Below are 15,760 nucleotides of genomic sequence, written 5' to 3'. Positions count from 1 at the left end.
CTCTTCCCAGTACCTCTGGCAGCCCTACCCGAGGACCCCTGTGAGGCAAGGCAGAAATAGCTTCCTAGGGGACCCAGAGAGCCCACAGGGCTTTTCCTGCTGCTTCCTCTACCCTTGTATTTTGCTTGGCTCTCTAAATTGACTCAGCCCCAGGTAAGGTCAGAATCTTCTCCAGTGATATACACCTTCGGGTTCCCCAGTGAGAGTGTGTTTTCAGGGGCAGACAATCCCCCTTTCCCACTCTCACAGTTTGGGTACTCAGAGTATTTGGGGTATCTCCCAGGTCCTACAGGAGCAATTCATTTCCTTCAGAGGGTCTGTGGGTTCTCTTGGCTTTTCTAATTTATTCCTGCAGCAGTTCTGGAGCAAAGGTTCAGAATTCAAGACTCCACATGCTGCTCTGTCCATTTGAGTGGGAGGCTAAAACGGTTTTTATTTAATACCTGATTCTAGCTTAATTTTGATCCCCTTCCTTTATCCTTTCCCCAGTATTTAACTGTTTGCCTAGATCTGATCTCACACTTAGCTCCAAATCAGTCTAACTTTTTCCAGCCTTAGACTGCTTGTTACAGTATCTGGCTTTACATTTGCCTTGAGAGTCTTAGAGTTGGAACTGCTGTGTTATGCTCCTTAAGGTCCTTGACAGTCTAGCCGCAGTCTGATTTACAAACCCCATCACTTGTACAAATTGTCCCCAACTTATCATGGTTCAATTTAGGATTTTTTGACTTTACTATGGGTTTGCCAGGGTATTAAATGCATTTTTTACTTATAGTATTTGCAACTTAATACTTAATAAACCCAACTTAATGGGTTTATTGGGAGGTAACCCTAAGTCAAGGGGCATCTGTAGTAGGTTGAATGCTGGCCTCAAAAAGATATGTCCACATCCTAACTCCCAGAACCTGTGAATGTTACCTTATTTGGAAAAATGTCTGTGTTAATGTAAGTAAGGATCTTGAGATGAGATCATCTTGGATTATCTAGATGGGCCCCAAATCCAATGTCATTTTAAGAGACAGAAGCAGAGAAGACACAGGCAAAAAGGAGAAGGCCATGTGAAGTTAGAGATTGGAGTTAGGCAGCCTCAAGCCAAGGAACAGCTGAAGCCACCAGGATGGAACAGTCTCCCTTAGAGCCTTCAGAGGGAGCACAGCCCTGCCAACACCTTGATTTTGGACTTCTGGCCTCCAGAATTGTGAGAGAATAAGTTTCTGTTTTAAGTCACCAAATTTTTCATAATTTGTTAAACAGATCTAGGAAACTAATACAGATTTTGGACCAAAAAGTTGGGTGCTGCTGTAACAAATAGTTCAAAATGTAGAAGTAGCTGTGGAGTTGGACAGAGGCTAGAATAATTTTGAGAAGTTTGGTATTAAAAGCCTAGACTGCCTTGAGGAGACTTCAGAAATCTGGACATTAAGGGTGATTCTGCTGAGGGCTTAGAAGAGATTAAAGGGCATAGTTGAAAAAACTTCTGTCATCATAGAGAATACTTATATCATCCTGAAGAGAATTTCAGTAGAAATATGAACATTGAAGTCTGTTCTGGCCATGGCTTGGAAGGAAATGAGAGACATTATATTGGAATCTAGAAGAAAGGTAACCCTTGTTATGTAGTGATACAATACCGGCTGACTTGGTTTCTACAGTTTGTGGAAAACATCTTGAAACTGGTGAACTTGGATATGAGCTGAAAAGATTTCCAAGCAAAGTGTTAAAAGTGCTGCTTGGTTTCTCCTCGCTGCCTATATTAAAATGAGAGAAGAAAGAGATAAATTTAAAAAGGAACAGGTAAGGAAAAAGGAACCAACACTTGATGATTTTGGAGGTTCTCAGCCTATCCAGATTGTAAAGAGTGTTACAACTAGGAAACTCAGTGTTGGGAATGTGTGCTCTGGAGAGAAAGACAGAAACCTGGCAGGACAACCTTTTGCTGAACAGGTTAAGCATGTGATTCATGGGTCCCCTCAACCATCTCCCCAGAAGCTTGGTATAAAGAAGGTGGGGATATCCAGGAAGGATCTGGGGAGGATCCGTGTAATGATGTGGCTCTTGGTGAAATATACAATAGTCTTACAAAGTTTTGGGGAATGTATTAGAAACACTGTCAGCTTGGACCGAAAGAGACAAGACAAAATGAAAGAAGGCTGTTGGACTTCCAAAATTCTATAGGCAGGAAATGGACTATAGAGCTACTTGGCTGTAAACATTGTGCTGCCCTTTCAAGAAAGAAAGAATAACTCTGCAAGCAGAACCATGGCAGGCAGCACAGAGGGTGAAGCATCAGGCCACAGAGAGTTATTCTCAGGCTTTGAAACATAATGGAAATTTGCCCTGCTGGATTTTGAACTTGCCTGTGACCAGTGACCCCTTTATTCCTTCTATTTTTTTCCTTTGGGAATTAGAGTGTCCATCCTATGCCTGTCTCTCCATTGCATTTTGGAAACATAACTTGTTTTCTAGTTTCACAGGTGGACAGGGGAGAATTTTACCCCAGGATGGATCATACCCAGAGTCTCACCCATACATGATTTAGATGATAAAATTTGTAAATGAAGTTGACGATATTTACATGAGATTTTGGACTTAGAATTGATGCTGTAATTGGTTGAGTTTTTGGAGGTTGTTGGCAAAGGGAAATATATTTTATGTAGGGGAGGTGGATTTTGGGGGCTTTGGGGGCTAGAGGGTGGCTTGAATGATGCACCCAACAAAAAAAGGGCAGCTTTTAGAATCTTTTGCATTAACTCTGCTCAAACCTTGACTTCAGACTTTTGGCCTCCAGAACTATGAGAGAATAAATTTCTCTTGCTGAATAGGTTAGACCTGTGATTCATGAATCCACTCAACCATCTCAGCAGAAGCCCAGTACAAACATGGCGTTATCCAGGAAAGATGTGTAGAGGATCCTTGGGTAATGGTGTGGTAGCCCTAGGATAGTAATATATCATTCTTTTACAGTCTTCCTCATTGATACCTTACTTGTGGGCATACCATATTACTCTATCTTGCCTGATACTTTCCCATGACAAAATTAATAACTTTCTATTATTCTCTCATAGCATTTGGCCAGTATTTCTGTAATAATCCTTACTGTAAGGTATCATATATGCTAATCTCTGTTGTTAAAAGGTGAGCTTCAGAGACAAAACTGTTTTTTATTCATGTTTATTTTGCCAAGGCACAGTGCACAAAAGTTGGGTACTCAGTAATGCTAATTCAACAAAAGGTACTTTTTATAGGGAAAGGTATACTTTAAGCCACCATCAGAATTACCTCTACAATATACCTTACTTGTGGAAACTAGTTTGTCCTTGGAAAATCCAGAGAGGATGCTCAGTGTTACCTCATGTGCCTTATTGTTTTGTTGTGAACAAATCAAAATTGTAGGAGGTCCTTTATTATATAAACTAAAATCTTTCTCTCTATACCTTTTATCTACTGATCCTCTCTTTCAGAACCAAATCTGTTTCTGTGTGTGACACATTATGTGAGAATAGCAGGCCAAAAGCCTGTAGTTTCTTCAACCACTGCACTTCAAAAAATTTATTTTATATAGTTCGTTATTCTGCTTTCCTTCAATTTGTTTATGTTTCTCTTAAAATTGTAGGAAAAGCAAAGAGGTTGAGAAGAGTAAGTGTGGAAGTGGAAGAATTGAAGAGCATTGAATAGGTTGAAGGAGCTGGGCAGATAGGAACTTAAGGAAAATAATGTGGGAGCAAGTGAGGGAAATTTTTAAGAATAATGCTTTAAATCCAAAAATTGAGCTTCCCAACCAAAATCTATAAATGCATACACACACACACAGATATTTTTCAGTTCATCCTGGAAATTTGAGTGCATAACTTGAGTATAGTCTTATGTAGGAAACAAAGATGAATAAGGTATGTCCCCTGTATAAAGAAATTTATAGTATAATAAAATTTGCGGCCAAGCGCAGTGGCTCAGGCCTGTAGTCCCAGCACTTGGGGAGGCCGAGGCGGGCAGATCATGAGGTCAGGAATTTGAGACCAGCGTAGCCAACATGGTGAAACCCTGTCTCTACTAAAAATACAAAAAATAGCTGCGTGTGGTGGCACATGCCTATAATCCTAGCTACTCAGGAGGCTGAGGCAGGAGAATTGTTTGAACCAGGGAGGTGAAGGTTGCAGTGAGTCAAGATCGCACCACTGCACTCCAGCCTGGGCGACAGAGCAAGACTCTGGCTAGAGGTGGTTATAGGCTGAAGAGGCTAGCATTTTACAGTATGCATACCTTAATTTGTACATCTGAACTGCAGTTATTCTACTTGTGTTGATCTGACTGAAAATATTTTTGAAATTCCACTTATAATTACTGTCAAACTCTTTAGTGCGTATAAAAACACCCTTTGTAGAAATAACTGTTTTCTCTGGGTAGAATTTTTTGAAGAAATACACTTATTTTGAGCCATATATTTTGTAAGGCAAGTGAACAATTGCAAATGCCAGCTTGTTACCTTTAAAAAAACTTTGTCCAAAAGAGTGAACTGGGCATGGTGGCATGTGCCTGTAGTCCCAACTACTTAAGTGGCTGCAGTGGGAGGATCGCTTGAGACCTCCCAGGCTAAAGTAAGCCATGTTTGCACCACTGCACTCCAGCCTGTGTGACAAAGGGAGATGCTGTCTTAAACAAACAAACAAAAATGTTGTTCAAAGGTAATATCTTACCTTTTACCAGGTGCAGAACTGGTTTAGATGGTCTCAAGGATGTTTGCTCTTCAGTGATTAATAATGAGTTACCAGTAAATGGCCTCTGAGATTCCAGAAGAGTTCCAAAAGTGCTTAGAGCAGTGATGTATTGAGGGAATAACTTTTAAGTGAATACTTTTTTTTTTTTTACTTGAACTTTTAAGTTCCAGGGTACACATGCAGGATGTGCAGGTTTGTTACATAGGTAAATGTGTGCCATGGTGGTTTGCTGCACAGATCAAACTATCACCTAGGTATGAAGCCCAGCATCCATTAACTTTCTTCTTGGTGCTCTCCGTCCCCTTGCACCTTTCCAACAGAGTCCAGTGTGTGTCGTTACCCCCATGTGTCCATGTGTTCTCATCATTCAGCTCCCACTTGTAAGTGAAAACATGCGGTGTTTGGGTTTCTGTCTCTGCATTAGTTTGCTGAGGATAATGGCTTCCAGCTCCATCCATGTTTCTGCAAAAGACATGACCTTGTTCATTTTTATGGCTGCATAGTATTCTGTAGTGTATATATACCACATTTTCTTTATTCAGTCTATCATTGATGGGGATATAAGTTGATGCCATGTCTTCGCTATTGTAAATAGCGCTGCAGTGGACATATGTGTGCATGTATATTCATAATATGATTTATATTCCTTTGGGTATACACCCAGTAATGGGATTGCTGGGTCAAATGGTATTTCTGCCTCTAGATCTTTGAGGAATTGCCACACTGTCTTCTACAATGGTTGAACTAATTTACGTTCCCACCAACAGTGTAGAAGCATTTTTTTCTCCACAACCTTGCCAGCATCTATTGTTTCTTGACTTCTTAATAATCACCATTCTGACTGGTGTGAGATGGTATCTCATTGTGGTTTTGATTTGCAGTTCTCTAATGATCAGTGATGTGGAGCTTTTTTTCATGTTTGTTGGCCGCATGAATGTTTTATTTTGATAAGTGTCTATTCATGTCCTTTGCCCACTTTTTAATGGGGTCGTTTGTTTTTTTCTTGTAAATTTGTTGAAGTTCCTTATAGACTTTGCATGTTAGACCTTTGTCAGATGGATACATTGCAGAAATTTTCTCCCATTCTGTAGGTTGTGTGTTCACTCTGGTGATAGTTTTTGTTGTGCAGAAACTCTTTAGTTTAAATAGATCTCATTTGTCAATTTTTGCTTTTGTTGCAATTGCTCTTGGCATTTTTGTCATGAAATCATTGCTTGTGTCTATGTCCTGAATTGTATTGCTTAGATTTTCTTATAGGGTTTTTATAATTTTAGGTTTTACATTTAAGTCTCTAATTCATCTTGAGTTAATTTTTGTATAAGGTGTAAGGAAGGGGTCCAGTTTCAGTTTTCTGCATATGGCTAGCCAGTTCTCCCAGAACCATTTATTAAATAGGGAATCCTTTCATTGCTTGTTTCTGTCAGGTTTGTCAAATATCAGATGCTTGTAGGTGTGCAGTCTTATTTCTGAGTTCTCTATTCTGTTCCATTGATCTATGTGTATGTCCTTGTACCAGTAGCATGCTGTATTGGTTACTGTAACCTTGTAGTATAGTTTGAAGTTAGGTAGCATGATGCCTCCAGCTTTGTTCTTTTTGCTTCAGATTGTCTTGGCTATTTGGGCTCTTTTTCATATTTTCTAATTCTGTGAAGAATGTCAGTGGTAGTTTTGTCACAGGATAAGGATCCCGTGATAAGGGTTTTGGCTTTGCCAGCCGGAAACCTCTATGGCTGGTAGCACCTTTGCCCTAGTTTTGCTCGGGCCTGCTGTGCTCCTTTTGTCCACTCGGCCTGGCAGGCTATGCTCGGCTTGTGTTACTGGCCTGGATCCCACACCTGCCAAGGGGGAGCCAGGTGCAGGGCGGCGGTGAGTGTGTGAGCAAGCACAGGGTCCGGCCACTGCGCACAGCCAGGAGTGCCAGCTGCAGTGGGGTGGGCAGCTCCAGGTACTGGCACAGGCACCAGCTTTGTACAAGACTGTGGCTCGACCAGGCATACTGCAGGTGGCTTCCACTGCAGGCACTGTGGTGGAATGCAGTGGCACCTGGAAGCTTGGAGATACCAGGAACCACACAGCCCTAAAGAGAGTGAGTGTCACAGCTCTGGCTCAGGGAGCCTGTAGGTCTGGGCTCCCCAAAGGGCTGCAGCTCTTCTCTCCTTTTCATTGCCTGCAATGTGGTGAGTGGGGCACGTGTTTCAGCCCTGTTCATGTTACAGCTCTTTCAGTCCTGCCATTTGGTGAGTTCCAAGTTCTTGTTGCATGTTCAGGAAGAATGAGGCATGTAGACAACTGGAAGGTGAGCAAGGCAAAGAGGTGCTTTATTGAGAGACAGTACAGCTCTTAGGAGAACTGAAGTTGGTAGCTCCTTTCTGCTGGCAGATCGTCTTGATGAGCGCAGCTGTCACTAGAGAGGAGACATGGAGTGGGTAGCTCCTTTTCACAGGCAGGTCATTCTGTTGAGTCTGCAGCCCTCAGCTGAGAGGAGAAATGGAGTGGCCACCTTCCACCTGCAGTCAGGTCATCCCGATGTCTGGGAGAGGACACCTGGAATGGGTAGCTCCTATCCACAGGCAGGTCATCTCATTATCTGCCTGAGTTTGGCTGAGTCTGGGGTTTTTATGGGCTTCAGAGGGGGGTAAGTGTGTGCTGACTCGTCCATGGGAGGCCCTGGGTAGGCCGGGACAAAAACACCGTACGTTCTCACTGCAGTCCATGGAAGAGGTAGCCCAGCCCCCAGGCTTCAGGTTGTCCTTAGCTTGAAGGTGGGGCTTCACCGGGGACCCATCCCTTTTTGCCCATCTGCTCCCTGCCACCATTAACCTGCCATCTACCATGTCCATGGCACCCAGGCAGTTCGCGTCATGGGGCACCTTTCAGGCCTGTGCCAAGCTGCTCCCAGGCCCTCTTGGCCTCCCTTCCATGCCCATTGGTGCCCAAAGTCTGGAGGGGGCTGAGGTGGTAGGGGGCTGGCATGTCAGCACTACCCCAAACATGTACAACCAGCCGGGTTGTGGCAGCTTCTAGGCTCAGGTGCAACTTTGCTCCGAAATTGAAGCAGGGATTGGGAGCAGAGAAGAGGCCAGGAAGCAGGAGCAGGCACTTTCAAGTCTGTGTTGGGACAGGGGGCTTTGCAGGCCCCTGAGAGTGCAGGGATGCGTTGGTCCACAGCTGCAGCTGGGTGGTTGCAGCTGCACCCAGGGAGTGCAGGGCTCCCACCCCGCCAACTCAGTAGGAGGCATGGGCTCCTACCTGCCTTCAGCCCCCAAAAGCACAGGGATGTCCGGGTCCGGACAGCTGCACCTGGGGAGTGCGGGCCCTCCACCCTACCAACTCAGAAGTGGGTGGGGCTTCCACCTGTTCCTTGCTCCCACCAGCTCCGTGGAGTACACAACCCTGGCCATATCTCCCTTGCTACAGCTGGCGTTTTTGCAGCTGCCACTCTAGACAGGTCACTGCTGCCATCAGTTTACTAGGAATAGCATTGAATCTATAAATTACTTTGGGCAGTATGGCCATTTTCACAGAATTGATTCTTCCTATCCATGAGCATGGAATGTTTTTCCATTTGTGTCCTCTCTGATCTCCTTGAGCAGCGATTTGTAGTTCTCCTTGAAGAGGTCCTTCACTTCCCTTGTTAGCTGGAACACTTTCTTAAGGCGATCACTTTGAAGGATCAGACTTAGTTAGATGTACAGATTCTGGTAGTTGGAAGAAGTTTTTACCTGTGGTTGCACAGTATATGAGCATGTCTGTAGCTGTTTGGTCAAATCAGTTAAGCCTTGCCCAGTGTTGATTTGAAGTTACTTATTACTCTAAATTCCTATGCTTGTCGTGTTTATGTTGATGAATTAATCAGTCTTTCTGACTTCCTTTTTCCTTTTTAGTGGCCATGTCAGACTCACAAGAATTAGTTAATCTGTATGTGTTGTGGATGTTCTCAATACTTTCCATTTATTTTAAGCATTAGTTTAAGTTTACCAAGCCTAGAGAGAAAGGTAAGGTGGGCAATAACAAATAATCAGCACCATGTGTATGGTGGCTGTTTTGTTTCTAGCTTAAATATTTAACCCTATTTGTTTTAGCTCTCTAGTGTTTTGTTCTGTGCAGAACTAAATCTTTCATTTATTTCATTATTTCTGAAAGGCTTTAAATGGCTTTGGCCATTTTTTCTTAAATACCATGAAAATTTCATTGGGCTTTATGGCCAAAGACATAGTGCAGTACACTGATTTCCTGTTTTTAAAATTAAGATCTTTTCTGTTTTAAATAATAAAAAAGATTTTCTACACAAGTAAAGGCAATAGATAATATAACTTCTATAAAATATTTATAGAACCAGTTTTTGTTTATGAAACAGGTGGTCTTTTTTTTCTACTTTTTACCTTTATATAATGTTCTATCTTAATTATAATTTTTGTATTTCTCAGTGGCATTTCATATGGCAAGATAGAATAAACTATCAATTTTTTAGTTGTTGCTAATAACAAGGAAAAGCCAAAGGTAATTTCTCATGAAGCCTTTTCCTGACATGATTATATGTTTATAGTTGAGAATGATATCTCAGGTAAGAATAGTCAGTGTGTTTTTTTCCAGTGTTATAGTAAATGGAAATTAGTAATTTGACATTAATTTTTAGGGGTTTTTGTTTTTGCCATAGATATAATTTGGTTCTTGAGTACAGTTTATAGTATCTAAACCATTTTAAATTCCATCTACTAACCGATTACTTCTATTTTTTTAATAGTGAATTTATGGCAGAAGAAAGTAATGAAAAATTTTGGCAGTTTTTGGAAACTGTGCAAGAATTAGCAATTTATAAGCAAACAGGTAGGTGATATGTAAATTTTAACTTGTAAGATTTGTATTTATGTACACACATTGTAATGTTTATTATTTTTTAATGGTAATGGTTAAGTGTGAATGCTTCACTGGGTTAGTAAATCCGAACATTAAATTTGAAAATATGTTTTAATAGAAACCATTCTAAGCATCTGTTTCCAAAAATACAAGGTTTTAATACTTTATTATAAGATACCTCATATAATTAGTCATGTTTGGATATTGCATTCTCATCAAGAAGAAATCAAAATTGTTACCTGGGCATGGTGGTGTGCATCTGTAGTAGCAGCTACTTGGAAGGCCCAAGGCCAGAGGATTGACTGCTTGAGCCCAGGAGTCAGAGACTAGCCTGGGCAGTATAGCAAGACCCTGTTTCTAAAAAAGAAAAATAAAAAAATAAAATAAATTGGCCAGGTGTGGTGTTTCACACCTGTAATCCCAGCACTTTGTGAGACTGAGGTGGAGGATCACTTGAACCCAGGAGTTTGAGCTGTGTTTGTACCACTGCACTCCAGCCTGAGCGACAGAGAGAGGCCTTGTCTCCCCTGTCCCCCCCCAAAAAAATTAAGATAGTTTTCTTTTTACCTAGATTTCTTTGAAGTAATAATTTTGCATCTAGTAATAGTACATTTTTTTCTTTTTTAAAAGTAGACTTAATTTTTTTAGAGTAGTTCTAAGTTCATAGCAAAATTGGACAGAAAGTACAGAGATTTCCCATATTCCCCCTTCCCCTACACATAAATAGCCTCCCCTGTTATCAACATCCCTCACTAGTGTGGTACATATATATCTGTTGATGAACCTTCCTTGACAGATCCTTAATACGCAAGGTCCATAGTTTACATTAGGGTTCAATCTTGCTGTTATACGTTCTATGGGTTTGGACTAATGTATACTGACACGTATATTGCATTTTTATTGGCAGAATACTTTGACTCTTAAACCATTAAAGAAACTTTTAATACCTCAAAAAGTCAGGTAACTAATATGCTCTCATTTCACTATTTGTAAGATAGTAATTTCTGTTTTTATATGTATATGAGAGTATATACCTATATATACGTATATCTTCCTCAGAATTAAAAAGTGTTTATTAATGTGTTTATTATTTTCCTATCTCTGCAGAGACTAGAATAGATGACATGAGCATGGAATCCCTTAAGAGTAAAATCTTCAGCCATTTAGATATAGAGACATCTTCTTACTATTGGTGATTAAAATAGTTTATTATTTTGTTCCTGAGTGTAAATGTAAGATAAACTAAGTTTCAGATGTTTTAAATGCTCATTTACTGAAGCCTGTTTGGCTCAGGTAGCCTTGAAGTTCAGTGATTTTGTGATTTCACAAAGTAGATTTTAAAAATAAAGAGATCAGACATGCTTTTAATAACATTTTAAACTGAAATATTTCCAAAAGCAAATAATTTTTCCTTTCAAAATTTTTTCCTGAAAAAGCTTTTTAGTCATAAGAAATGCTGGAGGTACTTTAGATGATGGGAATACAAAGATGAATAAATGGGATCTACATCCACAGGACTTTGTGAAACAATGAAGGAGACAGCAAAACAGTGATGTACACTATTAGGCGATAAGAGCTTTAATTGGGTCATGCATAACATGAAAACACATAAAAGAGGCACCTAGTCAGTGTTCCAGAGAGAGCAAGACAGGATTTTCAGTGCTGAATGCTGGAGCTGAGTTTGAATGATGAGATTTAGCCAGGGAGTAGGGAACACAAATGAGTAGAAGAGACCGGAATGGAATGTGTGGAGGAACCTCGATCACTTAGTAATGTTTACTTTCAAATCATTAGGAAATTACTGTCTGTTGTCCTCATATTTGTCCTAGTAATTTTATTAATAGTTTTGGTGATTGAGGTAAAAGTAGGCTAGATTAATATGTAAGGTTTTCATGGTTAATGTCAAGTATCCAAGATAGTTTAAAAAAACCTAACACCAAATTTCGTGTCTCTCACCTAAAATCCTCAATATATCTGTCCCATATATGTTGTTCTCAGTACATGCTTTTTGGCCTTATTCAGTGCTATTTTTTATTGGAGACGCAATCTTAAAAATTACTCCTGTAAATTTCAAATTCATTTTAAGTTACTTAAATATATCAGCATATTTTATACCTAAATGAAATGATATACCTGGACAATCTGGTGGCAGATCATTCACAAGCTGGAATATAAGCTCAGGAGTACCTAAACTCTACATCAAGCATATATGGAAGGAGGTATTTCAAGTGTTTTCAGGGTTGAACCTAAATTGTATTAAAGTAGGAATTACTAGCACAGCACAGTGGCTCATGCCTGTAATCCCAGCACTTTGGGAGGCTGAGGTGGGCAGATCACTTGAGGCCAGGAGTTCGAGACCAGCCTGGCCAACATTGTGAGACCCCGTCTCTACTGAAAATACACAAATTAGCTGGGCGTGGTGGTGCGGGCCTGTAATCCAGCTACTCGGGAGGCTGAGGCACAAGACTCACTTGAACACTGGAGGCATAGGCTGCAGTGAGCCGAGATCACACCACTGGACTGCAGTCTGGGCAACAGAGTGAGACTCTGACTCAAAAAAATAAATAAATAAATAACACTTAAAATATAATTCTATTGGCTTTATTTATAATGGCAGAGTCTAATGCATGTGGTGATATTATTGCTGACCTTGTTAAATGTGGAAAAGAATGGTACAAATGAGAAATAATGAGCAGAGATTTTTTTTTGAGACGGTGTCTCACTGTGTCGCCCAGGCTGGAGTTCAGTGGCATGATCTCGGCTAACTGCCAGCTCCGCCTCCTGGGTTCACACCATTCTCCCACCTAAGCCTCTGAAGTAGCTGGGGCTACAGGTGCCCACCACCACGCCCGGCTAATTTTTTGTATTTTTTTTTTTATTAGAGACGGGGTTTCACCGTGTTAGCCAGGATGGTCTCGATCTCGTGACCTCGTGATCCGCCCACCTCGGCCTCCCAAAGTTCTGGGATTTACAGGTGTGAGCCACCGTGCCCGGCCTAATGAGCAGATTTTACTGAATTTGTTTTCAAGACATCTTAGAGGAAACATTTAATAATCCTCTGTTACTTGTACTAATTTAGGTTGTTGAATCTCCATGAGACCTTCTAAATACTCTTTACTAAAGCATGTCTTAGTGATCCACCTGCCTAAAAAAATTGTAAATATTGAACATTTAACTTTTTGAATTCAAGTACTAGTTTTATACCATTTAATGCAATTACTTTATATTATATGCCAGCAAATTAAGACTTTTTAAGCAATGAATTGCCTGTTTAAAAAAATTTATATGGTTCTGCCAGACTTACATATTTATTGATGCTTCAAGATTCAAGTGGCATATTAGTTAACCTATGTAGTTTTGTGAGGTGAGAAATGTCACCCAAGATTTATCTGATTTCCAAATGCCTGTTTATTTTTACTTCTTCACATGCTGCTCAGCATATAAGAATGTCATTTTCAAAGTCCTTGAAGATTTTAGTGGTTTTTACACAAATTAAGTTGCTTTTGTATTTTATTAATGGAAGAAATTTTCAAAAAATGTTAAGGCTTTCTAACATAGTTACTTTTACCCAAGAACCAGATTTGGGGGAAGAAGGTAATTGGAATTTGGACGTGCCACATTTGAAATGCTTGTGAAATATCCAAATATAAATATATCGGTAAGCTGATATATGAGTGAGAGATCTAGATAAAATAAATTATAGGATAAAGGGTAGGATTTCAGAGTGATCAATATGAAAAACGGTAATTTAAGTTGTAGGGAGAAGGCACAGAATGAGAATAAAATAGTGCCCAGTGGCAGAACCCTGAGAACAGCAATGTTTAAGGGAATCTGATGAGAAGAACAGCACACAGTGGAGACTAAGGAAGAGTACCTGTAGTGGTAGCTGAAATCCTGTAAAAGTATTAGATCATGAAAGCCAGGAGAATATTAAGTTGTAAGTGATTGCTGTTATCAAATACTGTAGACAGATCAAGTAATATGAATATTATGCACCTACTACTTTTAAAAACAGAGAAATTATTAGTGCCTTTGGTGAGAACCATTTCACTGGTATAGTAATCAAGACTTTAGTAAGTTAAGATGTGAGTAAAGCTTTTCATATCTCTGTTATTTGGTTATCTAATTTCTGAGTTTCTTGTCAAATTGTCACAATCAGCAAATAACCCAGTCTCCAACCACCCCCAAAATGTCCCCTTCCAGTAGAGCTACGTGTCGTTAAGTCTTTTAAGACCTTTGACTATGAAGGGAATAAGATGAGTCAGTAGCTGTCTGTGGAGGCTGCCACTTATTTTTTTTAATAAGAGTGATTTTTGAATATTAGGTGCCAGTAGTCAAAAATTGAGTAAAAGCTGAGGTTGAAGATAAAGGCAGAAAATATTGAAGGGGCATTTTTAGCAGGTGGTTGGTGAGCATGGATTTAGTTATTTAACAAATCAGCCAAAATAGCCCAATGCATCCATTTCATAATAGAGATGATCTTGCTAGTTACATCTAAATTATAAAAGTTTACTTTCTATAAACTCCTGAATCCTACATTCATTACTACATAAGGGACAACCTTGATGGTGACCTTGATGAAATTTGGTATCTGTTGTCAGGCACTACTCACATTTCTTTTGACTTTTCTCTGCTTCCCTGGGTGACCAGTCCTTTGACTGATGTAGTCATATTTTAGATGTCATTACATTAATTTTTATTATTTTCTTGCTGACCTTGTAACTATAAGTATTTTAAGAATATTATTTAAAATAACATTTATTTTCTATTTTGCTTTTACTGTTGAACACGAATCTTATTTGCATTATTTTTTGATTCTTGGAGGAAAACTCACCATATCTCCCAAGTTCTGAGAAATCATCTATAGTTTGTTAAAGAATTAAGAGTGGGCTGGGCGCGGTGGCTCACGCCTGTAATCCCAGCACTTTGGGAGGCCGAGGCAGGTGGATCATGAGGTCAGGAGATCGAGACCATCCTGGCTAACAAGGTGAAACCCCGTCTCTACTAAAAATACAAAAAATTAGCCGGGCGCGGTGGAGGGCGCCTGTAGTCCCAGCTACTCGGGAGGCTGAGGCAGGAGAATGGCGTGAACCTGGGAAGCGGAGCTTGCAGTGAGCCGAGATTGCGCCACTGCAGTCCGCAGTCCGACCTGGGCGACAGAGCGAGACTCCGTCTCAAAAAAAAAAAAAAAAAAAAAAAGAAGAGTGAAAGAGGCAATGCTTATTCTCATATGTCAACTGTTTAAAGCAACTGGATTAGGAAAATATTGTTTAGAATGAAGAAACTTATTTATAATATTTATTAAATATTAAAGAAATTTATTGAATGTCTATTTTGTATGCCAGGAGTAGAAATGTACAGTTGAAAAACTATGATAGAAAAGATCCTTTCCTTCATGGTTTATAGCTTAATAAGAGGCACCAAATTAAACAATTATACCAATACTTTTTAATGACTTCTTTGTGAATTGATGTAGAGATGGTATAGAGCTCACAATCAGACTTTATGCTGCAATTTCTCCAATTATTTCTTGGTTATATAAAGTTTGCTCTCTGGTTGGTGCCTCATGAATAACTCTTGGAAAAATAGCCCTTGAGTTCTTCACATACTTAATTGTTCATGTGTGAATTCGAAACTTCTGATTTTTAACTTTAGAGCCCCAGAGTTGTTTTTTGTTTGTTTGTTTGTTTTTTAAACTAGAGAATGTTGCAATGCTGATCATTCTGTGTCTTTTTTGTTTTAGGTATGTAAGTTCATTATTTTTAATTCTGGAAAGTTTTCTTGGATTATAGTTTTCTTTAATTATTCTGTTCCATTCCCTTGATTTTCTGCCTTAGGGTCTACAAGTATACATATATTAATCTCCTTTGCCTGACCTCTGTGTTTGTCATTTACTCTCAAGTCATTTTTCCCTTCTCTCCTTTTTATTTGTTTCATTTTTATCACTTTTCCTCTGCATATTCTGTTTCTCCTACTGTTTTCCACAGTGTCTCTTTACTCTTGTGCTCCTTCTAATTTAATCTGTATTTTCTAGTATTATTTTCTTTCTAGTTCTTATTTGTATTCTTTCAGGAAACTTCTCATATCTCCCTCTTTTTTTGGTCATCTCATTTCTGAGCTTTTTGTCAAGAGCTGTGAAGGGGCTGGAATTTTTACCCTGCTTGCAAGCTAAAAACTTAGCTTGCCACAGT

The 15,760-nt window shown here is 39.7% G+C and overlaps 1 protein-coding gene across 9 annotated transcripts in view; it reads left to right on the top strand.

Annotated features, from left to right (window-relative positions):
* The window catches only part of UGGT2 (UDP-glucose glycoprotein glucosyltransferase 2), a 251,822-nt gene that overhangs the window by 11,974 nt on the left and 224,088 nt on the right, over positions 1 to 15,760 (top strand). For all 9 annotated transcript variants that reach the window (XR_931617.2, XM_047430471.1, NM_020121.4 and 6 more), the window contains exon 2: positions 9,457 to 9,539. Coding sequence is in view for 8 of the 9 variants with exons in the window: in XM_047430471.1 (XP_047286427.1) it covers positions 9,457 to 9,539 (83 nt within the window). In the remaining variant the exon portion in view is untranslated. The remainder of the gene's footprint in view (positions 1 to 9,456; positions 9,540 to 15,760) is intronic.

Source organism: Homo sapiens, chromosome 13, assembly GCF_000001405.40.
Source record: "Homo sapiens chromosome 13, GRCh38.p14 Primary Assembly".
NCBI classification, from domain to species: Eukaryota; Metazoa; Chordata; class Mammalia; order Primates; family Hominidae; genus Homo; species Homo sapiens.
Note: the sequence above shows the minus strand (reverse complement) of the source record. Positions and strands in the feature narration are given on the sequence as shown.